The sequence below is a fragment of the Homo sapiens genome, chromosome X (genome assembly GCF_000001405.40).
Source record: "Homo sapiens chromosome X, GRCh38.p14 Primary Assembly".
NCBI classification, from domain to species: Eukaryota; Metazoa; Chordata; class Mammalia; order Primates; family Hominidae; genus Homo; species Homo sapiens.
In genome coordinates, this window is record NC_000023.11 from 54,339,089 (window position 1) to 54,362,866 (window position 23,778).

The 23,778-nt window shown below is 43.5% G+C and overlaps 1 protein-coding gene and 1 pseudogene across 22 annotated transcripts in view; one reads left to right on the plus strand and one right to left on the minus strand.

Moving 5' to 3' along the window:
* WNK3 (WNK lysine deficient protein kinase 3) overlaps positions 1-19,812 on the minus strand; it is a 166,078-nt gene extending 146,266 nt beyond the window's left edge. For 5 of the 22 annotated variants that reach the window (NM_001395166.1, XM_011530802.3, XM_017029745.2 and 2 more), the window contains exon 1: positions 18,711-18,958. The gene's annotated coding sequence lies outside the window, so the exon portion shown is untranslated. Of the gene's footprint in view, positions 1-18,597; positions 18,959-19,326; positions 19,425-19,454 lie in introns of those variants that run through there. The other 17 variants (XM_047442381.1, XM_047442378.1, XM_017029743.2 and 14 more) reach the window with 6 other exon arrangements.
* RNU6-434P (RNA, U6 small nuclear 434, pseudogene) lies at positions 4,458-4,564 on the plus strand (annotated as a pseudogene).

Sequence of the window (23,778 nt, forward strand, 5' to 3'; positions counted from 1 at the left end):
ATATGTTACTAGAGAAAAGGAGGGGCATTTTACGTGGATAAAAGTTAATTCATCAAGACAATATACCATAAACGCATCTAACAACAGAGTCCCAAAATACATTTAATAAAAACTGACAAAACTGGAGAAATAGATAATTCAGTAATAGCAAAAGATTTCAATACCCCACTCTCAATAATGGAGAGAGTAACTAGACAGAAAATCAACAAGTATATGGAAAACTTGGTCAATACTATCAACCAACTTGACCTAAGTGACATCTACAGAACACTTCACCCAACAATAGCAAAATAGACATTCTTTTCAAGCACACATAGAACATTCTCTGAAAAAAAAATCATATGCTATGCAATAAAACAAATCTCAACAAATTTAAAGAGATTGAAATCATACAAAGCATGCTCTCCTACCAAAAATGAATAAATTAGAAATGAACAACAGGGTAAGGACAGACATATAGGTCAATAGAACTGAGAGTCTAAAAGCCGTAACATTTATGGTCAATTGATTTTCAATACAGAGGTTAAGACCATTCAATAGGAAAAGAACAGTTATTTCAACCAAACTTGTGGCATAACTGCAATCCACATGCAAAAGAATGAAGCTGGACCCCGACCTCGTACCATACACAGAAATTTAAAGTGGATCACAGTCCTAAATACAAAAGCTAAAACTATAAAACTTTTAGAAGAAAACATTGGAGTAAATCTCAGTAACTCGGGTCAGACAATTCCCAGCCACAACACTAAAACCACAAGCATAAAAGAGAAAATTAAGAAGCTGCACCTCGGCTGGGCGCGGTGGCTCACGCCTCTGTTTGGGAGTCCAAGGCAGGTGGATCACTTGAGGTCAGGAGTTTGAGACCAGCCTAGCCAACATGGTGAAAACCCATCTCTACTAAAAATACAAAAATTAGCCAGGCATGGTGGCATGTGCCCGTAATCCCAGCTACTCAGGAGGCTGAGGCACAAGAATCGCTTGAACCTGGGAAGCAGAGGTTACAGTGAGCCGAGATCACGCCTCTGCACTCCAGCCTGGGTAACAGAATAAGACTCAGTCTCAAAAAAACAAAAAACCAAAAAAACAGAGAAGCTTCACCTCATCAAAATTTTAAACTTTTGTGCTTCAAAGGATACCTTCAAGAAAGAGGTGAAGACAACCTACAGGGGAGGAGAAAGTATGTGCCAAATCATATATGTGATAGGGGATGGTATCAAACTATATCAAGAACTCAATAATGGCCGGGTGCATTGGCTCACACCTGTAATCCCAGCACTCTGGGAGGCTGAGGCGGGTGGATCATTTGAGATCAGGAGTTCAAGACCAGCCTGGCCAACATGGTGAAACCCCATCTCTACTAAAAATACAAAAATTAGCCGGGCAGTAGTGGCGCACGCCTGTAATCCTAGCTACTCAGAAGGCTGAGGCAGGAGAATCGCTTGAGCCTGGGAGGTGGAGATTGCAGTAAGCTGAGATCGCACCACTGCACTCCAGCCTTGGTGACAGAGTGGGACCCTGAGTAAAAATAAAAAAAAAAAAGAACCCAATAATGACAAGACAAATAATCCAATTTTAAAATAGGCAAAAGATCTGAATAGACATTTCTATAAAGAAGAAATCCAAAAGACCAATAAACACATAAAAAGTTGTTCCACATCATTACTTATTGTGGAAATGCAAATCAAAACCACAATGAAATGCCACTTCATACCCTACAATAAAAAAAGACAGTAACAAGTGTTGACAAGCACATGAAGAAAACAGAACCCTCATACACTGCTAGTGGGAATGTAAAATGGTACAGCTGCTTTGGAACACAGTCTGGCAGTTCCTCAGTAAGTTAAACAGAGTTACCATATGATATCATCTACCTAAGAGAAATGAAAACATATGTCCACACAAAAACTTGTACAAGTGTTCATAGCAGCACTATTCACAATACCCAAAGGTGGAAACAATCCAAATGTCTATCAACTGATGAATGGATAAACAAAATGTATTAGGTGTAATAGAATATTAATGGGAAGGCTGGGCACAGTGGCTCACACCTGTAATCCTAGCACTTTGGGAAGCCGAGGTAGGTGAATCATTTGAGGTCAGGAGTTCGAGACCAGCCTGGCCAACATGGTGAAACCCCATCTCTACTAAAAATACAAAAATTAGCCAGGCGTGGTAGTGGGTACCTAGAATCCCAGCTACTCAGGAGGCTGAGGCAGGAAAATCGCTTGAACCCAGGGGGCAGAGGTTGCAGCGAGCCAAGATGGCGCCACTTCACTCCAACCTGGGCGAAAGAGTGAAGCTCCATCTCAAAAAAAAAAAAGAATATTACTGGGCAATAAAAACGAATGGTGTCAGGTGTGGTGGCACACACCTATAATCTCAGTTACCCAGGAGGCTGAGGTGGGAGGATCACTTGAGCCCAGAAGTTCAAGGCTGCAGTGTGCTATGATCATGCCCATGAATAGCCACTGCCTGCTACCCTGGGCAATATAGCGAGGTCCCATCTCTAAAAATAAAAAATAATAAAAAAAAAGGAATGGAGTATTGATATATGCTACAACAAGGATGAACCATGAAGACATTATGCTAAGCGAAAGACGTCAGAGGAAAAGACTGCATACTATATGATTTCATTTATATGAAATGTCCAGAAAATACAAAACTACAGAAACAGAAAATAGATTAGTGGTTGGGGCTGGGGCATAGGAACAGGATTGACTGCAAATAAGCACAAGCAATCTTTCAGGGATGATGGTAATGAACTAAAATTGAGTTGTAATCAAGATTTTACAACTCTATAAATTTACTGAAAATCATTGACTTTTATATTATATTTGTAAAGTCTATGTTATATAAATTGTATCTCAATAAAATATGATGTCCTGGCCAGGGCCAGTGGCTAACACCTGTACTCCCAGTATTTGGGGCGGGAGTTGCTGAGGCAGAAGGATAGCTTGAGCCCAAGAGTTTGAGACCAGCCTGGGCAACACAGGGAGACCCTGTCTCTACAAAAAACAAAATTAAAAAAAATAAGCTGGGCACGGTGGTCCACGCCTATAGTCCCAGCTACTAAGGAGGCAGAGGTGGGAGGATCACTTGATCCCAGGAGGCTAGAGTGAGCCATGATTGCAACATTGCACTCCAGCCTGGGTGACAGAGAGAGATTCTGCCTATAAAAAAAATTTTTTTTAAATATGGCTGGGCGTGGTGGTACATGCCTGTAATCCCAGAACTCTGGGAGGCCAAGGTGGGCAATCACCTGTGGTCAGGAGTTCCAGACCAGCCTAGCCAACATGGTGAAACCCTGTCTTTACTAAAAATACAAAAATTAGCTGGGCGTGGTGGCGGGCACCTGTAATTCCAGCTACTTGGGAGGCTGAGGCAGGAGAATCACTTGAACCCAGGAGGCAGAGGTTGCGGTGAGCCAAGATAGTGCCATTGCACTCCAGCCTGGGTGACAAGAGTGAAATCTGTCTCAAAAAAAAAAAAATCTGAAAGCAAAACATTTTGATGAAAATCAAAACCATCACATTATCAAATATGCCTTTTAAAAACTATACTTACCCTCCCACCCCTCATTGTGTCCACTCTCATCTTTAGCCTGGCCTCCTGGGTTAAGAATCCCAGGAGAAAGTAAAGGCCTGACAACAATAAAATGTAATAGCTGGTGACCTAAAGGTAAACAACGAATAAGAAAAACTAGGCCAAGAACTTCACTAAGTATAACGTATCTGGGGCCATCGTGGATTCAAATAGCTTCCTTTTTTTCTTTTTTTTGAGATAGGGCCTCACTCTGTTACCCAGGATGGAGTGCAGTGGAGCAATCATGGCTTCCTGCAGCCTTGACCTCCCTGGGATCAAGTGGTCCTCCCACCTCAGCATCCCGAGTAGCTGGGACTACAGGCGTGAGCCTCCACACCTAGCTAACTTTTTGTATTTTTTTGTAGAGACAGGGTTTTGCCATGTTGCACTGGCTAGTCTCAAACTCCTGGGCTCAAGCAATCTGCCTTCATCACCCTCCCAAAGTGCTGGGATTATAGGCATGAGTCACCATGCCAGGCCTCAATAGTTTCTTGACTATGGTATATGTGGGGCCATCGTGGATCTTCACCATAAAACAGTTTAAGAACACAGGCTCAGCCGGGCGCGGTGGCTCATGCCTGTAATCCTAGCACTTTGGGAGGCCGAGGAGGGTGGATCACGAGGTCAGGAGTTCAAGATCAGCCTGGCCAAGCTGATGAAACCCCGTCTTTACTAAAAATACAAAAATTAGCCGAGCATGGTGGCAGGCGCCTGTAATCCCAACTACTCGGGAGGCTGAGGCAGAGAATTGCTTGAACCCGGGAGGTGGAGGTTGCAGAGAGCCAAGATCGCACCACTGCACTCCAGCCTGAGCAACAGAGCAAGACTCCATCTCAAAAAACAAAAACAAACAAACAAACAAAAAACACAGGCTCGTGCTTGTTTTGGCAGCATATATACTAAAATTGGAATGATACAGAGAAGATTAGCACGGCCCCTGCACAAGGATGACATGCAAATTCGTGAAGCGTTCCATATTTTTAAATCCCAATATCCACTTTTTTTTTTTGAGACAGGGTCTCACTCTGTCGCCCAGGCTTAATTGCAGTGGTGTGATCACGGTTCACTGCAGCCTTGACCTCCCAGGCTTAAGCGATCCTCCGACTTCAGCCTTTTGAGTAGCTGGGACTACAGGCACGTGCCACCAAACTCCTAATTTTTAATTTTTTTTGTAGAGATGAGGTCAAGCCACATTGCCCCGGCTCCTCTCAAACTCCTGGGCTCAAGAGATTCTCCCTCCTTGGCCTCCCAAAGTGCTGGGATGACAGTCATGGGCCACCATGCCTGTCCCCAAAATCCACTTTTAAAGATAATTCCATTCTATTTATCTAGCAACTTTGTAAATTAGAATAATTTAATTTAGCCTTGCAACTTAATAAAAAAAACTTTGGGCTTCAATATAAAAATATAAGTATTTTCTCTGGCAAAGGTGGGAAAATTCACATTTTCCATGAAAAACTAAGGAAATAACATTAATTAAAAGCAAATTCTGGCTGGGCGCAGTGGCTTACGCCTGTAATTCCAGCACTTTGGGAGGCCGAGGCAGGCGGATCACGAGGTCAGGAGATCGAGACCATCCTGGCTAACACGATGAAACCCCGTCTCTACTAAAAATACAAAAAATTAGCCGGGCGTCGTGGCGGGCGCCTGTAGTCCCAGCTACTCCGGAGGCTGAGGCAGAATGGCGTGAACCTGGGAGGCGGAGCTTGCAGTGAGCCCAGATCGCGCCACTGCACTCCAGCCTGGGTGACAGAGCGAGACTCCGTCTCAAAAGAAAAAAAAAAAAGAAAAAGCAAATTCCACTCCAAAGTCAGTATATTGAGCATAGAAGGTTCACATGTTCCTTTTGCAGTCTTTCAGCTTTGTGGTTCTGACCACAATCAATGATCACAAACATATGAATAACTCACTGCCTTGTAGTACAAAACTGAGTCTTGGTTCTCATAAACTAATATAAGACCTGACTAAACATAAAAATATTTGAGGCCGGGCGCCTGGGCGCGGTGGCTCACGCCTGTAATCCCAGCACTTTGGGAGGCCGAGATGGGTGGAACACGAGGTCAGGAGATCAAGACCATCCTGGCTAACACGGTCAAACCCCGTCTCTACTAAAAATACAAAATTTTAGCCGGGCGTGGTGGCGAGCGTCTGTAGTCCCAGCTACTCGTGAGGCTGAGGTGGGAGAATGGCGTGAACCCGGGAGGTGGAGCTTGCAGTGAGCGGAGATCGTGCCACTGCATTCCAGCCTGGGCGACAGAGCGAGACTCCCTCTCAAAAAAAAAAAAAAAAAATTTTGAGGCCGGGCGCGGTGGCTCCCGCCTGTAATCCCAGCACTCTGGGAGGCCGAGGCGGGCGGATCACGAGGTCAGGAGGTCCAGATCATCCTGGCTAACACGGTGAAACCCCGTCTCTACTAAAAATACAAAAAATTAGCTGTGGCCGGCGCCTGTAGTCCCAGCTACTCGGGAGGCTGAGGCAGGAGAATGGTGTGAACCCGGGAGGCGGAGCTTGCAGTGAGCCGAGATTGTGCCACTGCACTCCAGCCTGGGGAACAAAGGGAGACTCTGTCTCAACAACAACAACAACAACAACAACAACAACAACTATATATATATGTATGTATGTATGTATGTATGTATGTATGTATGTATGTATGTATTTGAGTGGATTCTTCAAAATCCATTTAATTTGGTGGATGTTAAAATATAAGGGCATTTAAATATATTTATCTAGAGTTATTAAAACATACTCGGAATGAACTATTACCAAAGTGAATTCATATTTCCCAGAGTTTTAAAAATATTATTTTGGCAATTATAGGTACTGATGAGAAGAAATTAGAACCACAAAGAGGCGATTCTAGAAACAGCATTTTTCTTCTCTTATTTCCTATCCCAGATCCTTAGGAGTTGAACTACCTTCATATGAATAGAAACCCCATCTCTACTAAAAATACAAAAACAAAATTAGCCGGACATGGTGGCACATGCCTGTAGTCCCAGCTACTCGGGAGGCTGAGGCACGAGAATCGCTTGAGGCCAGGAGGCAGAGGTTGCAATGAGCCAAGATCGCGCCACTGCACTCCAGCCTGGGCGACAGAGTGAGACTCAGTATCAAAAAAAAAAAAAAAAAGAAAACAACGAAGGGTGAGCACCAAACCTATTTACATGGCAGTATAAAAATAGAGATCATCTCTATCTTGAGGTTCAAAGAACTTTAGGGAAATGTCAGAACACAGATCGTTTTCTGTGTAAAATACTTCCAAGCCCTATAAATTCAGAAAGAAAAGAATAAAATAAATAGCATTATATTCATCTTGCAATCCCAATATAAATATATAATTACAAAAACTTTCACTTAAACCTTTGTGTTTTTTATTTTTATATCTTATATTCCTATTTTCAATATATAAATTTAACTCAATGATATATATATATACACACACACATATGTGTGTGTATATATATATATATGTTGTGTTTATAAATGTTCTGGGAACAAGATAGTATCTCAGTTAAACTTTGTAAATCACCTTGGGTGTTGAATATTTTCATTAATAATAGCTTTTGTGAACTTATTATTTTGGAATTCAAAATTAGCTGATCAGCCAAAAAAAAAAAAAAAAAAAAAAAAGAACACAGGCTCGGTCGGCCGGGAGTGGTGGCTCACGCCTGTAATAATCCCAGCACCTGGGGAGACTGAGGCTGGCAGATTGCTTGAGCTCAGGAGTTCAAGACCAGCCTGGACAACATGGCAAAACCCTGTCTCTACAAAAAATAAAAAATTAGCTGGGTGTGGTATTGTGCGCCTGTAGTCCCCGCTACTTGAGAAGCTGAGGTGGGGACGATCACCTGAGCCCAGGGAGGTTGAGGCTGCAGTGAGCTGTGATCACACCACTGTACTCCAGCCTGGATCACAGAGTGAGACTCTGTCTCAAAAAAAAAAAAAAAAAAAAAGAACACATGCCCTGGAGTGGGAGAAATCTGGAATCAAAGTTCTGCCTTTCAATCCTTGGAAGAGATTTCGGGCAAATTAGTTAACCTCAATCATTCTTCATTGCATTTGTGAAGTCTCACAGGACCAATATGAAAATACACATATAAAATATTTAGCACAGTGCCAGGCACAATATAATAATCAATAAATGCAAGCTTTTATTTTCTATGTCTCAAAAACCCCTAGGGACAGCACTATATTAAAGTACTATTCAACAATACTCCAGAAAACATTAAATGATTTTCAGGAGATTCTATTTAGGAAGGCAGAAAACCATATATTTTCTAAAGTTTTTCAGTAATGAACCATGTTGGCATTGCCAAAGGGATATGCTCCAGTGACCAGGATAATATCTCTTCTACATTCAGCAATGTAGAAACATGGCCCAGTGAAAAAGTTTACAAAAATCAGGCCTCAAACCTGGAGTCTCTTACTAAGTTCACAGTTATATATAATTACCTACATGTAGCCATTTTTCCTTCATAAAATGATAAATACACTTATCTAAGCCCTAGGAATATATATAAAGACAACCGTGGCTGGGCACAGTGGCTCACGCCTATAATCCCACCACTTTGGGAGGCCAAGGTGGGTGGATCACCTGAGGTCAAGAGTTCGACACCAGCCTGACCAACACAGCGAAACCTCGTCTCTACTAAAAATACAAAAATTAGCTGGGCGTGGTGGCATGTGCCTATGATCCCAGCTACTCAGGAGGCTGAGGCAGGAGAATCACTTGAACCCCGGAGGCAGAGGTTACAGTGAGCCAAGATAGCGCCACTGCACTCCAGCCTGGGCAACAGAGCGAGACTCCATCTCAAAAAATAAAAAATAAATAGCCAGGCATGTAGTATGCGCCTGTAGTCCCAGCTACTTGGGAGGCTGAAGTAGGAGGATTGCTTGAGCCTGGGAGGTTGAGGCTGCAGTTAGCAGTGATTGTGCCACTACACTCCAGCCTGGGTGACCGAGTGAGACCCCGTCTCAAAAAAAATAAAAGACATATATATATATACACATATATATATATACACATATATATATACACATATATATATATAAAACACAATGTATGTACTATATTATATATATACACATGTACATATACATATACATAATACAATCATGTGGCTCAAATATCAAGTAAAGAGGTTTATAAAGGGCAGGCTCATTCCCAACTCTATCTCCCTTCCATTCAATTCCATTTGCCCCATCAACAGGTAACCACTCAACAGATTCTTGTGTATTCCTCCAGAATCTCTTTAGGCAAATTAACAAATATATGTTCTCTCCTTCACTATCTACACAAAAAGGAACACAGTACACACCAAGCTCTTTTTATAGTCATAGTAACTTAAGATACATGTTTTTCCTTTTCAGTACATATAAGTTTCTCATTCTTATTTTGTAGTATGCAATTGTTTGCTATTATAAATAACATTGTAGATTTCATTGTATATATGTGTGTGTGTGTGTGTGTGTGTGTGTGTATCCCTGAACTAGAATTGCTAGATCAAAGGAAATTTTTTTTTTAAGACAGTCTCGCTCTGTCATCCAGGCTGGAGTGCAGTGGCGTGATCTCAGCTTACTGCAACCTCCACCTCCCGGGTTCAAGCAATTCTCCTGCCTCAGCCTCCAGAGTAGCTGGGATTACAGGCGCACGCCACCATGCCTGGCTAATTTTTGTATTTTCAGTAGAGACGAGGTTTCACCATGTTGGCCAGGCTGGTCTCCTGGGCTCAGGTGATCCGCTGGCCTCGGCCTCCCCAAAGTGCTGGGATTACAGGTGTGAGCCACTGTGCCCTGCCAAGATCAAAGGAAATTTGCATATTTATTTTTTAAACTTTTATTTATTTAAGTATACTAATATATCCAAAATAATGTATGTAATACATGTGTATCTTTATATAATGCTGCCAAATTGCCTTCCATGGGCAATGTACCAATTTAAACTCCTACCTCCAACGTATGAGTGTCTTTTACCCCAGAGTCTTGACAACAAAGAGTGTTATCAAACATTTTGATTTTTAACACTCTGATAAGTTTAAGCAAGGAATCTCAGTGTGGTTTCAATTAGCATTTATCCTACACATGAGGGCAAGTATCTTTCACATAAACAATCGTTAAAGTCAGGAATAAGCCAAGATTTCCTACTACCAACTGAGGAAATAAAACAAGACCTACACATGTTAGAAAGTAGGAGACAAAACTCAAAACTTGCAGACTACATGATTATCTATCTAGAAAATCCAAGAAAATCAACTAAAAAACTATAACTAACAAGGAACTAACAAGAGTTCAGCAAACAGGCCAAAGACAAAATCAACATACAGAAATCTGCCATATATCTCAGTAATCATTACAAAATGTAATTTGAAAAAACAACTATCGACCAGGCACAGTGGCTCATGCCTGTAATCCCAGCACGTTGGGAGGCCCAGACAGGTGGATCACCTGAGGTCAGGAGCTCAAGGCCAGCCTGGCCAACATGGCAAAACCCCGTCTCCACTAAAAATACAAAAAAATTAGCCAGGCATGGTGGCGCACGCCTGCAGTCCCAGCTACTCAGGAGACTGAGGCAGGAAAATTGCTTGAACCAGGGAGGCGGAGGTTGCAGTGAGCCGAGATCGTGCCACTGCACTCCAGCCTGGGTGACAGAGCAAGACTCCATCTCAAAAACAAACAAACAAACAAACAAACAAAAACAATTATCCTGTTCATAAGAGCAACAAAGCTATAAAATACTAGTCTAGGAACAAACTCAAGAAGAAATATACAACACCTACATAAAGAAAACCATGAAATTTTACTGAAATACACAAACTACACCATGTTCCTTGATGGAAAGACCCAATATCAACATCTTCACAATTCCCCTCCCCCCACTATTATTCCAAAATCAATGCAATTTCAATCAAAATCCCAAAGAGATGTTTTTGTCTGAAACTGACAAGCTGATCCTCTAAAGAGTAGAAGGAAAGCCAAGAAAATCTTGATAAAGAACAACAAGAACTTGCCTTACCAGATAGTAACATATAGTTATAGTAAGTTAAACAATGTGGTTTTAGCACAGAAACAGACAAATTAGCTTAGCTGGCATGGTGGCATGGGACACTAGGCCAGGAGAATCTTGTGAGCCTTAGGAGTTGAAGGCTGCAGTGAACTATGACCATGCCACTGCACTCCAGCCTAGTCAAGAGAACAAGATCCCACCTTTAAAAAATAAAAAATTTAATTTAAAATAGACAAATGAACTAATGAAATAGAACTAGTACAGAAACAAACACATGTATGTATAGGAATGCAGTCTATGGTAAAAATGGCATTTCAAATTTGTGAAGAACAGGTAGTATAATAAGTTGTGTTGGGATAACTGGTTATCAATTTTGAGGAGTGGTAAGCTAAAGCCCTACCAAAAACCAGTCACAAAAATAAATTCCATGTGGACTTAAAAGCTAAACATAGGCCAGGTGCGGTGGCTCACGCCTGTAATCCCAGCACTTTGGGAGGCTGAGGCAGGCTGATCACGAGGTCAGGAGATCAAGACCATCCTGGCTAACATGGTGAAACCCCGTCTCTACTAAAAATACAAAAAAGTTAGCCAGGCGTGGTGGCGGGCACCTATAGTCCCAGCTACTCGGGAGGCTGAGGCAGGAGAACGGCGTGAACCCACGAGGTGGAGCTTGCAGTGAGCCGAGACTGTGCCACTGCACTCCAGCCTGGGTGACAGAATGAGACTCTGTCTCAAAAAAAAAAAAAAGAAAAGTAAGTACAAGTGGCCAATACATGTATGGTAAGGGGATTACTCAAACTCATTAGTAAACAGAGGGGTACAAACTCAAATGATTCAGTACCATTTTTCATCTATCAGGATGCAAAAAATAAATATCTGTTAAGTTTGAGAATTGTATAAGAAATTTGGTATTCCATGCATTGTTGGCAGCTAAACTGGAATAGCCTTTTCATAGGGCAAATTCCAAGTATCTAGTGCATAACTGTCACCCAGCAATTCCAATCCTTAGTAGTATCACTTGAGAAATATTCCTGCATGTGAACAAATATGTAGGTACAGGGCTTTTTTAAACTGAAACATTGTTTTAAATAGCAAAACAAACAAACAAACAAAATCAACCTGAAAAGAACTTAAATATCCATCTATAGGAGAATGCTGAAATAAACATGGTACGTCCATACTGTGAAATAATAAGCATCTGTTTAAAAAATGCAAGATGGATATATACTGATATATAAAAATCTCCTACATATATATACTATAAGGTGAGAAAAGTAAGTTGTAGTACAACATGTATATTACATCTACATACTATTTGTGTTAAAAAAAAACCCACAAAACTATGTATTTCTAAATGTACTCATATATGGGTGAATGCATATAAAAAAGGCTAGAAAGACATACTCTAAACTGACCCTAGTAGTCAAAGCTAGAGAAGCACACAGGAAGAAATACTATGTATCAATCAAAAAGAATGAAGTGAACATATAAATACTGATATGAAAAGAGCCCTAAGTGACACTCTTCGGGAGAAAAGTCATAAAATATATATCACATACTTGTTATTTGTATATGTACAAACATATGCATGCAAATACAGAGAAAAAAGGACTATAACTATTCCACAACCAACTCTTTTTTTTTTTTCTTTCATCCTTATTTTGGCAACCATGGAACCAACTCTTAACAAATGGTTATCTATGGGAGGACAGGAAGTTGGGTTAAAAGGCGTTTTAATCTAATGCTATATTACTTTAATCCTTTAAAGAAGAGTTGCCCATTAACAATCTGTACAAAAGAGTCAGTTAAAAAGGCCAGGTGCGGTGGCTCATACCTGTAATCCCAACACTTTGGGAGGCTGAGGCGGGAGGATCACTTAAGCTCAGGAGTTTGAGACCAGCTTGGGCAACATAGCAAGACCTTATCTCTATTTTTACAATAAAATAAAATACTGGCTGGGTGCAGTGGCTCACGTCTGTAATTCTAGACCTTTGGGAGGCCAAGGCGGGTGGATCATCTGAGGTCAGGAGTTCGAGACCAGCCTGGCTAACATGGCAAAACCCCACCTCTACCAAAAATACAAAAACTAGTTGGGCGTGGTGGCACGCACCTGTAGTCCCAGCAACTCGGGAGGCTGAGGCACAAGAATTGCTTGAACCTGGGAGGTGGATGTTGCAGTGAGCCGAGATCTCACCACTGCACTCCAGCCTGGGTGACAGAGTGAGACTGCATCTCAAAAACAAAACAAAACAAAACAATAAAATAAAGCAGAAAGACAATTCATGGAATGGAAGAAACTTTGCAAATCACATATCTGATTAGGGTCTAGTATCTAGACTGTATATTTTTTAAAAAACTCTTAAAACTCAACAATAAAAAGACAAACAACCAAATTTTTTAATGAGCAAAGAACTTAAATAGACATCTCTCCAAAGAAGAAATACAAATAGTCAACACGCCATGAGAAGATGCCCAACATCATTAGGGAAATACAATTCAAAACCACAATGAGATACCAGTTCATACCATTATGATGGCTATTTAGAAAGAAAAATAAATAAAAATAATTTTTTAAAAAACAAGTAAAAAACAGAAAGCAACAAGTGTTGGTGAGGATGTGGAGAAATGGAACCCTCATACATGGCTGATGGCAATGAAAATTGGTGCAACTGCTATGGAAAACGGTTTGGTGGTTTCTCAACAAGTTAAACATAGGGCCAGGCACAGTGGTTCATGCCTGTAACCCCCATACTTTGAGAGGCTAAGGCAGGAGGATCACTTGAGCTCAGGAGTTTATGACCAGCCCAGGCAACACAGGGAGACCTTGTCTCTACCAAATGTAAAAAATTAGCCTGGTGTGGGGCGTGGTGACACACACCTATAGTCCCAGCTACTCAGGAGGCTGAGGTGGGAAGATTGCCTCAGCCTGGGTGGTTGAAACTGCACTAAGCCATGATCATGCCACTGTACTCCAGCCTGGGCAACAGAGCCCTGTCTCAAAACAAAACATAACATAGGATTATATATGACCTAGCAGTTGCGCTCCTAGGTATACCCAAAATAAATGAAAACAGGTATTCAAACAAAAACTTGTATACAAATATTCATAGCAGCACTATTCACAAAAGCCAAAAGGTGGAAACATCCCAAATATCTATGAACTGATAAATGGATAAACAAAATACGGTATATCCATACAAAGGAATAATACTCAGCCATAAAAAGGAATAAAGTAATGTTACATGCCATAACACAGATGAATCTCAAAAACATGCTGAGTGAAAGCCAGACACAAAAGGTCATATATTATATGATTCCATTTATGTGAAATATGCAGAATAGACAAACATTAATGGTCACCTGGGACTTGGAGGAAGGGACAATGGGGAGTGACTGCTTACTGGGAACAGAATTTCCTTTTGAGGTGGTGTTAGCTGCACAACATTGTGAAGTTACCTAATGCCACTGTACAACTGTACACTTTAAAATGGTTAAAATGGGGCCAGGCGCAGTGGCTCATACTTGTAATCCCAGCTCTTTGGGAAGTCAAGACAGGCGGATCACCTGAGGTCAGGAGTTGGAGACCAGCCTGACCAACATGGAGAAACCCTGTCTCTACTAAAATACAAAAATTAGCCAGGCATGGTGGTGCATGCCTGTAATCCCAGCTATTCGGGATGCTGAGGCAGGAGAATCACTTGAACACAGGAGGCAGAGGTTACAGTGAGCCAAGATCGTGCCATTGCACTCCAGCCTGGGTGACAGAGAGAGACTCCATCTCCAAATAAATAAAATAAAATAAAATAAAATGGTTAAAATGGTAAGTTTGTATTACATGAATTTTATCACAATTTTTAAAAGTTACTATGCTACCAGCCTGGCTAACATTGTGAAACCCCGTCTCTTCTAAAAATACAAAAATTAGCCGGGCGTAGTGGCGGGCACCTGTTATTCCAGCTACTCGGGAGGCTAAGGCAGGAGAATCATTTGAACTCAGGAGGCAGAGGTTGCAGTGAGCTGAGATCGCACCATTGCACTCCAGCCTGGGTGACAGAGGGAGACTCCCTCTCAAAAAAAAAAAGTTACCATGCTAAAACACAGAAAACAATGTACTTCATTTCTTTCAGCCAGGCACAGTGGCTCACACCTGTAATCCCAGCACTTTGGGAGGCCGAGGAAGGTGGATCACAAGGTCAAGAGTTCGAGACCAGCCTGGCCAATATGGTGAAACCCCATCTATACCAAAAATACAAAAATTAGCCAGGCGTGGTGGCATGCACCTATAATCCCAGTTCCTCGGGAGGCTGAGTGAGGCAGGAGAATAGCTTGAACCTGGGAGGCAGAGGTTGCAGTGAGCTGAGATCGCACCACTGCACTCCAGCCTGGGTGACAGAGCAAAACTCTGTCTCAAAAAAAAAAAAAAGATTCACGAGAAAAATATATCCCTGAAAGGGCATCAAAGCTCATTTCTGTAGTGAGTCAATCTCAACATTTGCCAAACCAAATCTCATAACAAGCTCTATCAAAACAATTAAAAATTGTATCAATTCTACTTTTAAAGCTTTAAAATTTCTGAATGAATGTCTTATAGATGTCTTTCAGTCATCAAATATCTCCTAACGGCATCATAAATGTTATGATCTCAAACAAAGGTGGAAAAGACCCACTCGTTTGAAAGAATTCTGGCTTTTGGCCAAGAGACAAAATCGAGTATATCTGTAAATAGAGCTGGTCTACTTATATTGAGAGACTGAGAAAGGAGGGGTTTTTTTCCTTATACACAATTCCTTCCCCACGAAAACATACACAAAAAATTTAAGCCCTCCAGGAACAACAGTTAACTGTGGCCTGTCAGGGAGGCGGAAGGAGGGGAGAGTACTAGGGAAAAGAGCCAACTCATGCTGGGCTTAATAGCTGGGTGATGGGTTGATAGGTGCAGCAAACCACCATGGCACGCGTTTATCTGTGTGACAAACCTGCACATCCTGCACATGTACCCCGGAACTTAAAAAATAATAAAATAATTATTTTTTTAAAAATCAGTTAAATATGCTAATAAGTATTATTTAAAAATAAAAAAAATTAGGCCCTCTGTTAATTATTTTTATTTCAATTATCTGACTAGAAATCTGATAGCGGGCCCATGCCTGTAATCCCAGCACTTTGGGAGGCCGAGGCGGGCGGATCACTTGAGGTCAGGAGTTTGAGACCAGCCTGGCCAACATGGGGCAACCCCATCTCTACTAAAAATACAAAAATAAGCCAGGCATGGTGCCACGTGCCTGTAATCCCAGCTACTAGGGAGGCTGAGGCAGGAGAATTGCTTGAACCTGGGAGGCGGAGGTTGCAGTAAGCCAAGATCACGCCACTGCACTCCAGCCTGGGTGACAGAGCGAGACTCCCTCTAAAAAATAATAATAATAATATCCATTATTTTCTTTACTTCTGCCTACTCTGGTTCTTTGCAGCCACTGGCTTTATCATTTACCGGCTCAGCAATGAACAATATAGTAAAAACAAAACTCTATGGAAGAAAGTTAAGTCAACACTACAGAAATCTAACTCCTAAAACTATAATTATTTAAGCAAATGTAAACTTGTGATATGAAGATCAACAATGGTCTAGAAGTCAGAACTCCGGGGTTCACCACTTACTAGGGCATGTCTTGTTTTTCTGGGCTTCATTTCTTTTTCAGATAGAAGGAGAAAAATACCTTTCCTACCTGCCTCCCAACCAAAGTACCGTAATAAAATTATGTACAAGGTATGATAGAACTCTAAAGAGGGGGACCTAACCTAGCTTGGTGGAGGATGCTGGGAAAAGGAAGAAAGGGAAACCAGGAAAGGCTTTCAGGAATAGCTGGTGACAAATGTTAAGTTTTAAAAGAATGAGTTCAAATTCTAGGGGAGGGGGAGAGAGAGCATTCCAGGTAGAGGGGGACATCAGAAGCAAAGGCAGAGAGAGAAACACCATAAATCTGTTTATGTTATTCCCCTTCTTAAACAATCAAGAGTTCCTAATTCACCCCAGCCTCAACCTAAGATTCCAGCCTTATCTCATTCCATTCTCCAAATATACCATGCTTACACTTTCAAGACCCAAAATGTGAATGTCCTTCATCTAGAAACATCTAGTTCAAAACTGGGAGGCCGCCTTGCCTGGTTGAGTTAGTGCAACATTTCCAGGCTCTTACAGTGCCTTTATACTTCTACTGTACTATTTAATACATTAAGTATTCATCTCAATCTGAGAGACTATGAACAGAATATGACCTTTTGTATTCAAACTGCGGGTAGCCTAAACAAGGATTACACTCTTTCCAATATCAAAGCAGAATAAAAGAAAAACAGCATGGGAATGTTCTCAAGTTTGCAACATTTCCAAGAAAACTAAATATATATCAGTAAAATGTGTAAAAAATAATCACAAAAGATTAAAATCCATAACCGTTAATCTTGACCCAGAACAGAATGAGACCAGGACAAGACATCCTTATCAGAAGATAAGTATTCAGAGAACAAAATGTTCACGTAATCTGTTGTAATTTAAACTCACACCAAAAAGCGAGTGCCAATTTTCAAAGATAAATTCGTAATGACCAAAAAAAATGTACAATTATTTTAGTTCAAAGTCAGCTTTAGTGGATTTTTTAAGACAGAGTCTCGCTCTGTCGCCCAGGCTAGAGTGCAGTGGCACAATCTTGGCTAGCTGCAACCTCTGCCTCCCAGGTTCAAGAGATTCTTCTGCCTCAGCCTCCCAAGTAGCTGGGATTACAGGCACGCTCCACCACGCCCGGCTAAGCTTTAGTGCATTTTTGCTATCCTTTAATGCAAGGTATCTTTCCCTTGAGCTGTCGAGTTTAAACAATTTTTAAACTCATCAATCCAAAGGATAGAGACCGTCTTAAAAGACACCCGCTGCTCTGTCACATACTAAGACCTCTTCAAAAGTTCTCTTGGTATTACAACTTACTATAGATGAAAAACAGATAACGGTATCTCCAAAAATTGGATACAATCACTACTATGCAGAAGATTTTCACAACTCAAAAGCTGTTTTATTCATATAATTGTCTCAATCAACAGTAACTCTTAAGAAAAAATAGCCATACTATTCGCATCTGTTTTGAGGGTTCAGTCTCATTTTAACAGTCTCTCAACCCCCAAGATACGGAGATACTCACGTGCAGGATTTCCACCCCCACCCCATTATATAAATGTTTCACCACTTTTAACTAGTCAAACAAAACCTCTTTCAGTACAGTGAAGCCACCTCACCACTTTCATCCTCACCTATCATACCATCTCCTCCCCATCCCCAACCTGTCAGTCACACAACACACACCACCCCTTCCCAAATAACACCTCAGAATCTCCTTGAGCCTAACACATTTACACAAGCCAGCAATATTTCTCACCCCATCCTGTCCCTCACACATCAGCTGAACCTCTGAAATAAATCTACTCTTTCCTTCATCCTATTCCCATCAATACAACTGAACTTCCCACACCCGAAGCGATCTTCCCTTTCAGTAGCTTCAATCTCACTTAAGTGATCACTCAGTCCTTTGTCAACCGTCTCCTGTCCCCCTCCTGTATCCTCCTCACCTTCCCCGTCCCCTGGTCTTCCATCAGCTCCCAAAGTTGTCACCCCTCAACAACAACCAAAAAAAAAATCAAAAACAAAAAAGAAAACAAAACAAAAAACGCACCTCAGCCTCAAACCTGCCCTTCCCCACTTTCCCCCTGTTCATTTTCCTCTCCGCCTATTCAGCAGTTTCGACAGCCCCTTAGCCCGGAGCCCGGCCTCGTCCGGTACCGACTGGTGAAGGCACTCACCCTGCTTCGGTCAAGCCGCCCCCCGCTAGGGCGCTTACTCCTAACAGACTCTTGGCCGCCGCTGCCTCCCTCCATTCATCCCTGGCCCATTCATCTCTCAGCCCGATCCCAGACACGCCCCCCGGCCTCCTCCCTCTCTCCTAGCGCCCCGGCCGGCCCGGGACCCTCACCAGATTAGAGGCTCTCGCAAAGGAAGACTCTCTTACTCTTTTCGCTTCTCCCTCGCCCTCTCTCGAGCCTCCTCTCGCCCCACGACGAGCCACACCGTAGAATAGACACATACACACACACCGCCTCCTCCTCGATCGCCTCCTCCGATGCTTCTTACTCCTCTCCTCGATGTCTCGAGCTCCGCTCCGCGTCGTGTGCGCTTGCGCGCGCGAGCGTCTCCCCGCGAGCCCACCGGGCCAGCTACGGCCGGTAGGTAAAGAGCGGGCGGAGAGAGGGGAGCGGGGTACGAGCCCAAGCTCGCGCTCGGCCCGGAGCTGAGCAGACGCACGCGTACTCCAGCCAGGGAATTCGGACGGGTAGGAGAGAGGGGCGGAGGGGGGGCGGGGAAGGGAGGGGAGAACAGAAGAGGGGGAGGGGCGGAGAAAGCCAACGGAGCAGCCCCAACTCGGAACCGCCCCTATCGCAGCGAGGTGCCGAGTGGCCAGCCAACTAGAGTGCGCGCACGCCTCCCGCCCCCCTCGGCGCCGCGGGAGAGAGGGATGCGCGTCGAGGAGAAAGGCTTCTCCCCATTCCAAAGAGAAAATCTCTTAGAGGAAGCACGCGCGACATCTCCTGTGTGTTCCGAAGCGCTCTCGCTCTCTCTCAGCTGCTCTACCCTCTCCCCTCAGAGAAGAAGAAGAAGAAGAAAAGTCCAAGCACACACTACTTCCTAGCCCCCCACTGCCCACCCTTGGGTCTCCGCGAGCCTCTGAATGCTGTAGCGCCGCTGTTAGGAGGTGGTACCCGCCGGCACCTTTTCGCCCGCCACCCCTGACTCCCTTTTTCCAACTCCCGGGATTTCTCGCGAGACCCATACCTGCCGGCTTTGGGATTAGAAGTCGAAGCACCGATTTACAAATACTGGCCTCCCAGTTACGTTGCGGGGGCAACAGCCACGGCATGTCTCCCCCGCCCCCCAGGACCGCAGTGCGCGCGCGCGGGGGCTGGGAAACGACCAAAGCAGGGATGGGAAAGGGAAGCTATGAAACTGATTTTTGACGGCATGTAACCGCTAGGCCTGGGCACGTGCCCTGCGCCTCGCAGACGGGTGCGATGTACCCTGGGAATTGTAGTTTTTCTTCCCACCTATGGTCCGACTCCCACCCTCAGTTTTACTTAGGCCTCTGACCGGGAGGGGGATTTCCGACGCCATTTTGCCGGGAACAATGGCCCTCGGCCCTGATGGTGGCAGGTGGGGGAGGGAGCAATGGTTTTAAGGGTTCGGTGAACCTCCTCGGCCCCTTGGTGCCATAGCAACCCCTTCAGAGACCTGGTCCCGCCCCCTCGCCGCCGCCAGGCTTCTAGAGCGCGCGCATGCGGAAAGGCTGCCTCCCACTGAGACTGGCTCTCTGTGTCTCCCACCGGCCACCTCCTTGAAAAACTCCCAGATCCTCTAGCTGGTAGTGAATGCTGCCTCCTTCGAGCTTTCGGTACATGTTAGCCTCGGCGCAGCGGCTTCAAACTGCTTCCTGTGCTATGCCAGAAGCAGTATAGAATTGTTTCCGTCATTCTCCCATGAATAATCCCGGCCCGACAGAGGAGGAAATTGAGGCTCAGGAGGGGAAATGGACATGAATTGCTCAACTTCATACTATTTGTGGAGTTAGAACTTGAACCCAGGTGTGCTCACTCCAGAGCCGAGGCATTTTTCAATCTCCCGGGAGTCATCTGGTGGCGCAGCTAAAGGGCAGGGCATTCTTTTCGAATGCCCCTCAAGCTAGGAGGCTGTGTGGGAAATATCTGACTAATGCTTTCAGCCCTCCAGCCTCGGCCCTATCACTGAGTTATCCCTTCTCCACTACCTATTTTTCTTTTCCTGCTGTAGGCCTCAGAAATCTCAGTCTTTTTCAGCTCTTTAAAACAGCACAATCAATACATTTAACTCAGGTTTCCAAAGTCCAAATAAAGTGTAATGGTTTATCTTTGACTTTGTAAGGGGGGGGTGAGTATAATGATGGGAGGCCTTGTAGCCCTATCTCTTGCCTCTGTCCCTTCCTTATTAATTTCCATATTGCCAGAATATGTAAGGAAACCGGACCATGCCCTTAATACATTCAAACTCCCATCTTTCCGTTTTGACAACGGAGGGAGATGCTGAGGAAACAATAGGGCTATGAGGTCCAGCCACTAGAATGGTGGAGATCTTCCTTCCTGGCCGATTTGAAAGAGCAAGGTGTGGTTTCTCCAAATAGCTTCACCATTCTACCTTAAGAGTCTCTGAAGTCTCAATTAGCTGAAAAATGGATGGGGTCTCCCACGCTCCTTTCCTCACTGTCCCTGAAGATAGTCCCTTTTCCCTGTTGATTGGTTGACTAGTGTAGGAAAAACAGAGGAAGAGTAGCTGAACAACCAGTAAGGGGCAATTTCAAAGTTTCAAAGGTTACCAGTTTATCCCAAGTCTTTGTAGGTCCTGACTCCCATGAGATGGCAACTAGAAACTTGTGGCCACCGTTTCTGTTTCTCAGTGTCACCCTATTCCCACCACTGCCACACACATCACCTTCATGAAAAGGCATCTAGCTCAGTTGTGACCTGCTCCTCTTCCCTTGTCTCTGAGCCTGATGATGTAGGTAATGAATAAAGAACAACACTTGGAAATGTTAGCCCTTCAATCTGCTTAGATGTTAATTCTTTTGAGCAGTACCTCTTTGATAGTTGAATACTTGTTAAAAAAAAAAAAAGCTATTGAGTAGAGTGACTTTTATGACCTTTAGAAATTTGAAAATCAAACAAGTCGGCTCCCCATCCAAATACAGGTCCTTCTCAATTTAGACCTTTTATTGACATATGTGCTCTTCTGTTTGGGACAATCTGGTCTGTAACTCAGCACAAATGCCACTGTAGGCAGAAAGGGGAGCGGGCAATTCTAGCTAATCACCAAGGTATGACAGGGAACATTCCCTTCCTACCCACTGGTTTCCACTGACTCTCAAGTGACATTTGCAATGTTCCTACTCATCAAACAGAAATTTTGATTTATATTAACTATTTGTAGTTTGGTTTTACATTGTTCCAGGAAATCATCCTTCCAATAATCTAATTCATTTTTTTCTAGAGGCTCCGGTGCCAATAAATTACAAAAAATTTAACTGGAATCATTTTTAAACCCCAAAATCCCACAGGAGTGGGGGTAGGAGGTTAGTTTCATGGCCCTACTATCTGTTGGTCTCTTTCCTACCACACAGGATGGTAACTCCTTCAGTCAACAAGATGGAGCTGAAATGAACCTCAAAGTTTGTAGTTAGCTGACCACTGCAACCATGGGTAGAGTTGTGACTGTTTCTGGAACTTAATTTCTGACCCGGTGCCCTCTTTTTAACCAGGTTATTGGGGCGGGGAGGTAAACAATGTCCATCATTCTTGATGTTCATTTCCCTTAACCCAAGTGATACCACAGTTTGGGGATCTTAGGTAATGTCCAGGCATGGGTGTAAGTGGGAGTGGAGTAAGGATATCTGCTTCTAGTTATTTAGATCCTGGCAGTTTGTGCTGAGCCCTCTGCCCACATGGGTCCTTTCCAGTGCTGTGGTCCTCTCCAATGTCTCTGCGACATGGGGCACAGAATTTTTCCCGAAGTCCCAATAGATATTGGGCCATCTACCTAGACATTCCACACAGCTCTTCCTCTCTTGAGTCTTCCCCATCAGCTAGGTGTTGCTCCTGGGAAGCTGAGGCTAATCAATGCTGCTTGAGCTCCCACAGAGATCTCTCTCTGCTCTTGTTGTCTCTTTCTCGCAAGGAGAGGGGAGTGAGGAAGAGAAGAATCATTTTTTAGGTTTGTGCAACTCTTTCTTCTAGTTTTCTGGCCCAGATACTTGGTCTCTGCCCCTACACCCTAATACCCCTTGCTTAAGGACTTATGTTTTGGAAACACAGAAACCAGAAAGAGTGGCAGAGTATTTGTTTTACTGCCTTGCCACCTCCCTCCCCTGAGGTACACCACAAAGCTATGTTATTTTGGGGGCAGAGACAGGTAGAGAAAAAGAAAAATACAGGAAAGAAAAAAAATATATTATATTCTCTAGATAATACTGAGCCACATTCTCCTTCTATTAAATCTTAGCATCCCAGCAAGGGAAAGTGTACTTCTCATCCAGGTGCCTCTGTTCAAGGCAGTAACTCCCAGGGCTTGGATGTCTGGGTGATCTTTTCTCCAGCCAAGTCTTTCCACTAGGGGAATTTCTCACCAGGATCATCTAAGGGTTATTAATGTCCTCCCAGAAGGTTCTCTTTCCTCCCAGCACAAGTTGAGTATTCCTTGAGTAAGGGCATACTCAGAAGTGAACAGCTATCTTTGGCTTAGCGACTGACTTAGAAACACTCCACGTTTCAGGCTGGATAATGCAATTTCTCCAGCCTTGCTATTGGTCTAGTTTCTTCTTCCTAGATGCAGTCTTTCCACATGTGCCCAGAGCATACGTCAGGGGGCAATTTATTTATTTATTTATTTATTTTTGAGACAGAGTCTTGCTCTGTCGCCCAGGCTGGAGTTCAGTGGTGCAATCTTGGCTCACTGCAACTTCCGCCTCCCGGGTTCAAGCGATTCTCCTGCCTCAGCCTCCAGAGTAGCTGGGATTACAGGTACGTGCCACCACCCCCGGCTAATTTTTATATTAGTAGAGACGGGGTTTCACCTTGCTGGTCAGGATGGTCTCAAACTCCTGACGAACTCGAACTGAGGCTGGGATTACAGGCTTGAGCCACTGCGCCCAGCCATCAGGGAGCAATCTTAAGGTAAATGTCTGTGCCTTGACAACTGACTCTCAGAATGCCTACAAATGACTAAGCCCACATCACTTCTCTAAAACTTGCAAAGTGTCCAAGATCTTAACTCCTCTGCAAAATTCCCATGTGGCCAGACTACAGAGCCTGAGTTGGGGTTGCTGTAACAGCCCCTCCCTCTCCAGAATAAGATCAGTTCTTTAAGAAATGTACAGTCTGACATAGTATATTCTTTTGAGAATCAGAAACTTCAGTCTGCTGGGCTAACTAACCAGGCTTCATTTGCTGACCTGCCTTTCCTTCCTCTCCCTCCATTCCTTCCATGGACTCTCTGGATCTATTCCAATAGTCTGTAGTAGTCTTTCAAAACAGTCTTGTCACAAATCCTTCATGTAGCAGGTATGAATTGTAGTCTCCCT